A 12797-nucleotide genomic window follows, 5' to 3' on the forward strand; every position below is an offset into this window, starting at 1 on the left:
ATGCACATATTTTTGTTTGTGCAATGTCTTGAAAGCTAATCACTGTACATAAACTCAAGCAATTCAAATTCAGAGTCTGCATGCATAGCTTCTATCTACACCAATAGTTCTCAAAGGGTAGTCCTCAGAACAGAAACATCATCATCCATGAACTTGGTAGAAATGCAACTTTTCAGACCCCAGTCCAGACCAACAGAATCAGAAACTCTGGGGCTGCAGCTTAGCTGTCTGTTTGCAAGCCCTCGAGGTGATTCTGATGCAGGTCAAAGTTTGAGAAGCACTGTTCCACAAGTTCCTGTTTAGTGACCCCTAGAAGATGTGGTGATGGAAGTCAGGAAGCATAGTGCAATGGTTGGGGCATCCTCAAAGTTCATCTACTCCAAAGAACTAAGCATCCCTTCAGCAGAGAGACAAAAGCCATAAAAAGGAAACATGCAGAAGTAGGGTCAACTTTGCAAGCTGGTCCTTTTCTTTTTAAGAGATGGAGGTCTCGCTAGGTTGCTCAGGCTAGTCTCAAACTCTTGGGCTCAAGCAATCCTCCCACCTCAGCCTCCCGAGTAGCTGGGACTACTGGTGCACACCATCATGCCTGGCTTCAGTTACCTTTAGAGACAGCATTTTTTTTCTTTTAACCATAGCTCTTCAGTGAACAAAGAATAAGGAAAAAAGAAACCTGTTTTTTCCTTTAAAACTGTTACCCATGACCTTTTTTTTCAGGTTGAAGTGTCTTCAGGATGTATCCCTGAGTTTCCAAAGCACTAGGCAGGGATTTAGCTATGTGATTCCAATTAGACTCCACAGGAGAGAGCTGGAGCCACTGACAGGTGCTTTGAAGTCCTTACGTCTGGTGGACAGTCTGCCCTTCTTAGACACAGCATCTGATATTCTGACACTGGTGGAAAGCATCTGATAGCCGTCTTATTTCTCTTCGGACCCAGTGCTGTTCATTCAGTGGCCTTTTTCTAAGAGGCACACCAGACTGTCAGCTTGCTTTCTTAAAAAAATGAAAAACAAAACAAAACAACAACAACAACAAAAAAAACAGAAAACAAAAAACTCCAGGCTAAGATATTCAAATTGCCAAACCAATGGTATCATGGGGGACCATTATAAAATCCTCTCCTAGTTAAATCCGCATGCCTCAAGGAGCAAAAAATTAATATACTGCCGTTACACAGTTGAGAGGGAAAATTAATTTACAGAGAAACCTTTTCTAAGACATGTTCAGACTGCCTGGATACCACTCTAAATGGAAGCATTATCTGCCTTCCCAAAATAATACACCATATGCCCTAATCTGGCAGACACAAAAATAATTACATGACTCTGGCAGAGCCAATATGCTTGCTAATAAATGGAAAAATGAGAATAATGCAAATCAAAGTTAAGTTCAACCGTTTTTAGAATTGTGGTAGGGAAACTATCTACTACAATTAAATATGGTAAAAGGCAGAAAATGGGTCTCTTGCATAGATTTCAAAAGCCAAATCTGGCTGGGCACTGTGGCTCGTGCCTGCAATTCCAGGAATTTGGGAAGTTGAGGAGGGAAGATCATTTGAACCCAGAGCTCAAGACCACCCTGGGCAACATAACAAGACTCTGTCTCTACAAAAACTCAAAAAAAAAAAAAAAAATTCCAGGCACTGCAGTGCCACCTGTAGTCCCAGCTACTAGGGAGGTTGAGGCAGGAGGACTGCTTCAGCCCAGGAGTTCAAGGCTGCAGCAAGCTATGATTGTGTCACTGCCTTTCAGCCTGGGTAACAGGGTGAGACCCTCTCTTTAAAAAAAAAAAAAAAATGCCAAAGCTGCTCTCAGGAAACCCATTTAATATGTATCATACATATCAAAGAATACAAGGAATATTAACATGGAAAAGACAGTTGCTTGTGAATAGGTGAGGCAATCTCATAGGATTCCAAGCCATCAGGCAATTCCTTTTCTAATAATCCATTGTTATAGGGATTCGGTGAGGGTTCTTAATAAAACCAAAGCTCAAAATGCCAAATTCCACACAATTACCTTCAGTTTTTGGCAAAGAAAACTAAATGCAAAATGTGGTCTGGAAGTTGGATTTGCATCAGTGCAAACCTATTTCAGATGATAGAACCAAAATCATGAAAAACTCTAGCCTACAGTCAAAAATCACAATCTAACATTGGTGTATTCTTCGGAGCTCTCTTTTTCAGGTAACTGATTTTTTTTTTTTTTCCTGATCATGTTCTCACAAAGCTACCAGGAATTCTTATTTCTAAGCTCCTGAATCTTGATGTGTATTAAAAAGTACTAAGTAGGCCAGGTGCGGTGGCTCATGCCTGTAATCCCAACATTTTGGGAGGTCGAGGCGGGCGGATCACGAGGTCAGGAGTTCGAGACCAGCCTGGCCAACATGGTGAAACCCCGTCTCTACTAAAAATACAAAAATTAGCTGGGTGTAGTGGCGGGCCCCTGTAATCCCAGCTACTCGGGAGGCTGAGGCAGGAGAATTGCTTGAACCTGGGAGACAGAAGTTGCAGTGAGCCAAGATCACACCACTGCACTCCAGCCTGGGTGAGAGAGCAAGACTCCATCTCGGGAAGAAAAGAAAAAAAAATGTACTAAGTAACTGGAAGTATCAAGTCTGATTCCACATGACTATGAAAGAAAGATGTGGAGACAAAAAAAAAAATGGTGCTTCTTTTACCTTAGAAAATATCCAATTTTGATAAGAAAGTTTTTTTCCTGCAATTTTGCTCTTTATCTCCCCCACCAATAAGCCCTAGCAAGCTCTCCTATCTTTAGAATAGAAGGAAGAACACGGTCCTAGTGGTGAAACACTGGTGTGGGGAACCTAAATTAAAAGCACCCAGGCTCTCATATGCTATCTCAAGGAGCAAGCAGAATCCTGCTACACTACTGGGGTAAGAGGTGAGGCATGGCAATCTCTGCAGGAGGGGCTTCAGCTTACAAGCCCCTCTTGTCATCCACAAGGAAAAATCTGTCATTGTGAACATGAACCTTTAGGGAAAGAGTCCCTCCCAGAGTGCTACCAAATAAAGTCCCTCGAGTCACTGTTGCCAATTAAATTCCAGGAGAAAGACAGTGACAGATGTGGGGGTGCCAGTGGATTTGAGCTCTGTTAGTACAAATACCTTTGCAAGGGAGTGTGCATTGCACAGAGGAAAGCAGCAGTAATGAAATATTTACGTATTTATAAATATCCAGGCATTAACAAGCTTGCCAAACTCATTCCATGCATTTTAAAGAGTGGTTCCAGGAAAGAAAGAGGAAGACATGGCCCTTGATCAAGAGATGGCCACAGATCTAGGAAATCAGGCAGAGTAAACCAAAATCTCCACTCCTGGAGAGTACCCATCATTTTTATTGCTTCAAGGACAACCTTTGACAGTCATAGAAGAGATTATTAAAAGTCCAAGCATGTATCTAATACAATGCCTCCGAAAGCATTTTCCACCCTATTCCCAAGAGATGATCCTGGGGCGGGGTGTGGGGGAAGTCCTCTGGCTAGACAAAGGCTCTGAAAAGTCCTACAGTAAAGAAAGCTGCTAAATGTTGTTTAACCCATGTCGCTGACTTCTTCGGCCATAAGAATCCTTTTATTCACCAAAACATACATCTCACATAGTCCAAATTATCCTTCACACTACCCAACATAGTGGAATTTAATTAGGAAAACTGTATTTGCTTACTCCATATTTTAATGTTGAATTAAACCACAGTGCATTTCTTTTCCTGTGTGGAAGGAAAACAATTTCCTTTAAGAAAGAAAAAAAAAAAAGAAGAAGAACTGAATCAGCATGCCTATGAGGTTCTGCTTGATTTAAATCTTTTTTTAATTTATTGTTCTGGTACCCAGAGGCCAAGGTCAGACTTGCTTTTCTATGAAGACAAAAGTAAAAGACATGACTGCACTACAGGTCATTCTCTGACACTCTAAAGCAACAATGGAGAAACACGACAGGTCTGAGGTGGGCAGGGACTTAGGAGTATTTCTGAGAAGTGTCTGATTTTGATTGATTGCTGGTCTAGCTTATCTGCTTGTTACAGTTTAGGACAAGATCTAACTCTTTTATAAAGTAGAGCCCTGAGTTATTTACCTGGATCCATTTCCATTTAAAACAAATTCTGGAGAAGTGGTGATGGGGAGAGATTAGTTAACAATAATATATTATACAGTTTCAAACAGCTAGAAGGAGGATAGTGAATGTTCCCTGCACAAAGAAATGATAAATGTTGAAGATGATGGATATGCTAATTACCATGATATGATCACTCTACATTATATGCATAAGACATCATTGGGTACCCCATAAATATGTATAATTATTATATGTCAATTTTGAAAAATAAAATATAAAAAAGGAAATTCTCAATGTGAAACAGAATTACAGTTAACCCTTGAGCAACACAAGTTTGAACCTCATGGGTCCACTTACACACGAACTTTTTTTCAATAAATACAGTCGGTCCTCCATATCTGCGGGTTTAGCAGAAAACCAAGCACAGATGGAAAATACAGTATTTGCGAGATACAAAATCCACAGATATGAAGGGCTGGCTTTTTTTATATGTGAGTTCCCAAGAGTCAACTTTGAGACTTTAATATGTGTGGATTTTGGTATCTGAGGGGGTCCGGAAACCAATCCCTCACAGATACTGAGGGAGACTGTAGTACCTCCTCTCCACCTCCCACCCTCATCTTGAGCCAACTCACTTATTAGCAGCTCAGTGTGGCTCACTTGCCTACCCACCAGCTCTAAGCTATTTATACTCTAGGATCAGCCCTAAGTCCAGGCTGAAATGCAAAGATTTCCCTGCTGAAACAGGAATGGCCTTTGATCCTCCCTTAATTTATTTCTGTATTAGTCAGCTATTACCACAATAATGCCACATAACAAAATACCTTAAAACTCAGTGGCTACAACAACAAATGTGTATTTTTCTCACTCACAGTCCTCTGGGTCTGCTGGGATGGTTCACTTTCAACTGCTGGTTGGCTGGCTGAGCTCCAGGCTGTAGGTTGTGTTCGTGTCTGCTCCATGTGTCTTTTTATTTTGAGCCCCAGGCAGAAAAGACAGTAAATACGTAGGTATGCTTTCCTTTTAGTGGATCACTGGAGCATAAGAGACCTTGCCCTATAACCCAAGCACAGGTAAAATATCTGTTTCTGTCATATCTGCTAGCATTCTACCAGCCAAGAAACATCATACAGCCAAGCTCCAAATCAATAGGGTGTGAAATTGAGGGAGAAGGGACTGAATATTTGCTGAACAATAATTCTAACTACATCACTCATCTCCTCCCTTGCTTCTCCTTGCACTATGTATTTTGGGGTCCCTTACCCCTAACTGCTGGTCTGGCTTTACAGCCGCCTGGATGGTTTTGACCTCTTGGACTCTGCCTGCTTTCTAACTTTCATAGGGTCTTTTGGGATGTCAGCCAGAAGGACAATGCTGGAGTGGAGACATAAGAGCCAAAATCTAATCAAGTGGGATGAGTAACATAAAGAATCCTAACCTCAAGTCTTTTACCCAAAGAGTGTGGGTAAAAGACGGGAGCGAGACAGGCAAAAGTAATATGAGGAAGCCCAACTTCATCTTCCGGGTCAAAGGGACCCAACAGAGACAATAATAAGAGATGAACCTCAACGGTAAGAAGCTGAATTGACCCAGAAGCAGGATGAAGGTCAGACAGGCAGGGAGATTCAATGTTCTCCTGGCTAGTTTCCATCTGGTCATCAGGGTCTTATACTGTTGCAGGCCAAGTTTGGTAGAGCAACCTACTTCCCTACCACAAGGCCCAGGTATCCTGCCTCAGGACAGCAGGCTAATGTAGCCCTACTGAACCCTTCACTCACCTCCACACTAGAGAGCAGATGCAAAAGATAATTTTTAAGTCCCCCATTTCAACATCAGCTTAGCCCTCTCCGTGATTAGGAGACAGGCCTCAGCATCCTTCCAAATGATTTCCCCTTTCCCTGAAGCCAGAATTTCCCAAATTTTGCTTCACATTGGAAACACCTAGAGATCATTAAGTCAGCATGCCTGCCCACACTGCAGGCATGCTGACTTAACTGATCTGTGGTAGATCTGGGTACCACAATGTTTAAGAGATCCTTGGGAAATTCTAATAAGCAGTGCCGTTTGGGACCCACTTTTCTAAAAATCTAATCCAGCCAATCAGACTTTGAGAAGAGTTCATTTCAAATTTACAACACAGTTTTGGATAGGCAAAAGGAGACCCCTAGATGACTTGGTAAGTAGGAGCTGAAGGGACCCTAGTTGTTCGGCATAAGAAAATACAGGCCCAAATCCCTTAGTCTGAAACCCAACAGGCTCTGAAAACTGAAAGTTTTTTCAAAACTCAATGGCAGTAAACCCTGACCTGACTTGAATCATTTGGTGTTAAGACCCGACTAGTTATAGTTTTTATTCATCAAACACAGTGTGAATATTCATCCATTTTTCCAGGTAAATATTAACGTGTTTAATTACAGAGTGCTTTTCCAGACCCTGCTGGAGTTGTTACATAACACAAGTTATGTGTACCTTTCTACATTCTGAAAATTCTGAATTCAGAAAACATATGTGTGGCCGAAGAGTTTAGGCTAAGAGAATATGAATTTATACGAGGAATTTGTTTAATTGCTCCTTGGATATAAAGACCAGATAAAAGAAGGGGATAGGAGAGAGAAAAATGATGAGTTAACATAGCCCTTGTGTGACTTAGATAAAAGTGCCCATCTGAGTGGATTAATTAGCGAAAAGGACCACCTCTGAGTAAACACAGGCCTTCCCTCGGGCTCACAGCTTGATAAGCAGATCACAGGCTGGATTTTACCCTCACTCACCTCCCTTGGCCAGATTCTTCTGTGCACTGTACAAACTACACAACCATACAGACGGCCTTACAAAGGAACTTTTATAGCAGCTGGAATCTGAGGTGCAGAAATGAGCAAAGCTCTAAGTACAGGGATGTCTAATATTCAATTTTTAATTGTTTCTGTTAATGAAATGGAAAGGTCTCTGCCTCCCAAACCTTTAACCTAGAGCATACACGAAAGCTTTGGGATGAAATAAATAGGATTACCCACTTGGGGCACGTGCATGGGATAGCATGTAAAGGATAGTATGTGTAAAGATGTCAAGCACGGGAGAACCAGAGTTCATAAGATGGGGCATTGGACTTTCCACCAACTGTTAAATAGAGTTCAAGCTAATTTCATCCAATTGTTAAGGAACAGTGTCTAGTGTGACCCCAACCAATGTCTGAACTACAATAACAAGCTTCAGGCCAGGCGTGGTGGCTCATGCCTCTAATCCCAGCACTTTGGGAGGCCGAGGTGGGCGGATCACCTGAGGTCAGGAGTTGAAGACCAGCCTGGCCAACATGGCAAAACCCCTTCTCTACTAAAAATACAAAATTGGCCAGGCGTGGTGGTGGGTGCCCGTAATCCCAGCTACTCGGGAGGCTGAGGCAGGAAAATCACTTGAACCAGGGAGGCGGAGGCTGCAGTGAGCTGGGATCACATCACCGCACTCCAGCCTGGGTGACAAGAGCGAAACTCTATCTCAGAAAAAAATAATAAAATGAAAATAAAAACATAACAAGCTTCAGAACGATTCTAGAAGAGAAGAGGAAGCTAAGATAGGTTAGGTCATTTGCCCAGTAAATGTGGCCAAAAAGTATCAAAATCAGTGATTCAATGCAGATATTTCTGATGCCAAAGCCAATGCTCACAACTACTACTCTGTTTCTACCCCACAGCAACTGTAACAGCACTTAGTGCCCAAAGGCCACTCCAACAAACCCACAAATGGTGACCACCCAGCCCTTTGCATATTTGCATATTCAAGGATCTCGTTAAAACTAGGCCTTATCAAACTAAGCCATGATAAACACCCTACCACACAAATACAAGCATGTGAAACACTTAACTAGCTCCTGTGTACTTGTGTGCCTCATTCACATTTATGTAAACTCCACAATACAAATGTACTCACAATTTCAGCTATATTTTAATGTTTTCCTTTGGGCATTTCATTTGTAGGATCCATTAAACTGAACGTCACCACTAGTTACTTAGAACCAAAAAAGCACTCTCATGTACCAGGCAAAACTGAAAACATTCTCAGCATTGTTTATCAGCAAGGGTGGTTTCCATTACCTGCACCCTTTGAATATGCAACAGACCACAAGAAATTCAACCAATTCAGGATGCAGCAGTACCCTGACCTATGACTATACACAGAGTTGTTTGCTTAAATTCCCATCAAACTCAGCCACCAAATTGCACCAGTGATTGATATGGCACTTAATAAGCAACATAGATAAATTGAAAATATAAATTTCCTGCTGTTGGTGACTGTGGCAGACACTGCTGATTATCTCTGTGGCAATAGCTAACTATGCATCAAGAAACTTATCCACCCCAGAGGAGATTCTGGAGTACTAATTATTTTCTGTTTCTAGATCTAGATACTGGTCACATAGGTGTGCTAAGTTTATGAAAATGCATTGGGCTATACATTTATCATATAAGCATCTTTCTGATTTGTTCTATGCTTTAATTAAAAGTTTTTTTAATCAGTTATCCAATATACACAATATAGGCAAATGAAAAGAATAAACTGAGAAAAAAAATGTTATCTTCCATTCTAGGTGTACAGTTGTGACTAGAAGCAGATATCCAGGCAGGAAACTTTCCCAGGATTGCTTGCTTCAAGATAAAGCCCTGTGACTAGTTCTCACCCACAAAATGTGAGCAGAAGTGATATGTGCCATTTCTAGGTCATGGCGGCTACAGCACTGTGTACTTTCTCTACCCTCCCTTCCCATCTGTCCAATGAATGAAGAACACTCCCTTGCCCTAGAGGATGGCAGCACAACATGTTAACAGGCTGACCACTGACCAAGAACACCCACATTGAACTTTTAATGGCCTAGAAATAAAATTCTGTTGTGTTAAGCCATTGAAATTTTAGAGTTTCGTTGTTAAGGCAGCTAGCATTACCCTAACATATATACCTACCTAAAATCTGTTCACTCCTTCTTGACTAACAGAATCCTGTTTTTGTTTAGGTTGACAATGTGTCCACTTAAAAATACTGATCTCCTTAGATTATCTTGCAGTGAAATTTGATTATGTGACTCAGTCCTGATCAATGAGATGTAAATGGAATTTGCTGGCTATGACCTCCAGGAAAGCTCTTTAAAAGATTCAACTTTATCCTGTGTGGAGCACAGACATGCTACATGTAGATGTCACAGCCATTTTGCAACCATGAGAGCCTGAGAGCTAAAGATATCTTCCCCCAGGAGTAACCACTATCCTTCCCAGTCTCTATTATTTTCAGCACTCCCCAGTCACACATACATACATATCCAACGCACATGTGCACAAACATTTCTTTCCAAAATGGCAGTTGGGTATAAGAAGGAGGGGGTTCAAGTGTCTTCATGTGAATGACATGGTGATTACCTCAGATCTGCACAGCGTCCTCTAATGCTGTTCCTCATCTTCATGAGACAGAATATCCAGGACCTACATGTCCAAAGGGCTTCTTTTTCTTCCTCAGTCTCTCACTCTGTCTGACTCCTCTTATCCCCTCAAACATCTCACCAGAAGGGACAGGCTTTCTCTGTGTCATATTCTCCTTCTCAATTCCAGCTTTGAGGCTAAGCCTAGATGGGGATAAGTATTTCTTTTTTTACTAAATAAGAGAAAGTCTAGGGAAACTGGCTTTTGCTATGAAAAAAAAACAACTAAAGAAATTTAGAAAAATCTCCCTTCTCAACAATGCCTAATGCTCAAACCTATCTCTTGCTAAAGAAGTCAGGAACCTAACCTCTCCTGCCTGAATCACTAAAGCCTCCAGGCTTAGAGTTCAAGGAGAATCTAGTAGCTTAAAATAACAACCATTTATTCTGCTCATGAGTCTGCAGGTCAGCTGGGCAGTTTCTTTTGATCTCAGCTAAGCTCACTCATGCATCTGCAGTCCAGCTGTGGATTGGCTAGTTGGGTCTGCTGATCTTAGCTTGGTTCACTCTCACATGCCCAGGGGTCATATGACTATCAGTTGTTCTACAAAGGCCTTGGCTGCTCCATATGTCTCATTTTTGCGCAGGCTAGCCTGGCCATGTTCTCAGCGCAGTCACAGAGGAATAGCAGAGAAAGCAGAAATGCACAAGGACTTTCACAAGCCTCTGCTTACAAAAAGTCCGCTAATATAATGTCCTACAGACCAGTGAAAATCACATGAAGCCCTTATTTAAGTGATGGGAAAATAGACACCCTCTCTTTAGTGAGAGAAACTGCAAAGTCTTAAGGCAAGGGGCATGGATTCAGAGAGGGTTTAAGAGTTGGTACTTTAAACGCAAACAATCTGCCATATCCACCAATATCATCTGCCATTGATGTAGATCAGATCCCCAGCACTGCCAGACTGGCCCACAAGCTTGGGACAAGAGAAAGCCCTCAAGCAGAGAGTTGCAGATACACGGAGTAGCACAATACTGACAATTACTGAAATGGTGATGCTGAGGGGATATGGGGGGCAGTTGGCAGTCAATCTACAGTTTGGTGGATAGTCCATGATAGAAATGACCCATCACATTCTCACTCAGGAATTAGTACCAAGATCTAGACAGTTGTGATAGAAAAAAAGAGACACAGCTGGGCATGGTGGCTTATGCCTGTAATCCCAGTATACTGGGAGGTGGAGGCAGGAGGAATGTTTGAGCCCAGGAGTTTGAGACCAGCTTGGGCAATATAGTGAGACCCTGTCTCTACAAAAAAATTTAAATATTAGTCAGGCATGGTGGTATGCTCCTATGGTCCCAGCTACTAGGGAGGCTGAGGTGAGATGATCACTTGAGCCTGGGAGGTCAAGGCTGCAATGAGCCATGATCATGCCACTGCACTCCAGCCTGGGTGACAGAGCAAGACCCTGAAGAAAAAAAAAAGAAAGAAAGAAAGAAAAGAAGAAAGAGAGAAAGAGGAAAGAAAGAAAGAAGAAAGAAGGAAAGAAAGAAAGAAAGAAAGAAAGAAAGAAAAGAAAGAAGAAAGAAAGAAAGAAAAGAAAGAAAGAAAGAAAGAAAGAAAGAAAGAAAGAAAGAAAGAAAGAAAGAAAGAAAGAAAGAAAGAAAGAAAGAGAAAGAAAGAGGAAGGAAGGAGAGGGAGGGAGGGAAGGAGGAAGAGAGAGAGAGAGAAAGAGAGAAAGAGAAAGGGAGGGAGGAAGGGAGGGAGGAGGGGGAAGGGAAGGAAGAGAGACACTAATTAGCAGGACACACAGAGGAAAATAGAGCTTCTAAGATTAGGTCTAGTTGCAAGCTGTAATATATAGCCATGTGTACTTTGTAATGAATGCCCTTTTCTTGAAAATACCTAAGTGAATCTCTGTGTATACCGACTGCCCAAAATGGGCCAAATTCTCTGTCTCCCCCTGTATCTCCCTGATCAATACCCCTTTGCAATGTGACTTTGTAGGTCCTCTAATCAAATATCTATTTTCATACCCTTTGAATTTGGGCTGGTCTTGTCACTTCTTTTGACAATAAAATGCAATAGAAGTGATAGTGAACCAGTTCCAAGTCTGGGTCTTAACAGGTGCATGATTTTGTCCTATTTTTGGAATCCTTGCCAGTGCCACAAAAACAAATGTTGAAGAATGAGAGAAACCATGTGAAAGAGAACAGTCATTCCAGCCATCCAAGTCATCCAAGCCCCTTCAACAACAGCTGACCTTCAAGCACATAAGAGAGCCCACTTAAGATCAGCAGACCTGCCTACCCAACCTAGAGCTGATTACAAACATATGAAGCAGCTCATCCCAGGTCAGAAGAACTTCCTAGCCAATACATAGGATTTTTGTTCTTTGGTGTGTTCATATGGTAGATTATATTGGTTCATTTTCAAATACTGAGCCATCCTTGCATTCTCAGGATAAATCCCACTTTGTTGTATTGCATTATTCTTTTTATATATTCTTGGATTCAATTTGCTGATATTTTGTTGAAGATTTTTGTATCAATGTCACTGGTCTATCTTCTTTTCTTGTACTATCTTTGGTTTTTGTATCAAAGTAATGTTAGAGTTGTATCATGAGTTTGGAAGTATTCCCTCCTTGTTTATTTTATATAAGAGATTTTGTAGAAATGGTGCTTTGGTCTTCATTAAGTGTTTGGCAGAATTCACTAGTAAAGCTCTCTGGGTCTAAAGTTTTGGGATTTGGTTTTGTTATTGACTTTTGTTTTCTGTGGGATTTTTTTTTGAAGATTCCTAAATATGAATTCAATCTCTTTAAAAGATATAGGACTATTTTTTCTTAAATAACTTTTGCTAATTTTTTTTCTTTCAAGGAATTGGTCCATATTATCTATGTTGTTGAATTTATGTGTATAGAGTTATTTATAGATTTTTCTTATTACCATTTTAAAGTCTGCAGCGTCTGTAGTAATATTCCTATTTCATTTCTGATGTTGATTATTTGTGTCTTTTATTTTTTCCCTGGAGCGTATGGATAGATGTATTGTATTAGCCTGTTCTCACACTGCTATTAAAGACATACCCAAGACTGGATAATTTAAACAAGAAAAAGGGTTTAATGGACTTACAGTTATACATGGCTTGGGAGGTCTTACAATCATGGTAGAAGGCAAGGAGGAGCAAGTCACATGTTATGTGGATGGCGGCAGGAAAAGAGAGAGCTCGTGCAGGGGAACTCTTTTTAAAACCATCTGATCTTGTGAGATTTATTCACTATCCTGAGAACAGCACAGGAAAGACCTGCCGCCATGAT

General features: G+C 41.2%; 1 annotated feature.

Moving 5' to 3' along the window:
- Positions 8183-8232: a silencer, noted in NCBI's record as "silent region_14159". NCBI's record gives its function as "represses an Ori minimal core promoter by ATAC-STARR-seq in GM12878 lymphoblastoid cells {active_cell/tissue: GM12878}" and the evidence as "EXISTENCE:reporter gene assay evidence [ECO:0000049][PMID:35858748]".

This window comes from Homo sapiens, chromosome 3 (assembly GCF_000001405.40).
Source record: "Homo sapiens chromosome 3, GRCh38.p14 Primary Assembly".
In the NCBI taxonomy this organism is placed as follows: Eukaryota; Metazoa; Chordata; class Mammalia; order Primates; family Hominidae; genus Homo; species Homo sapiens.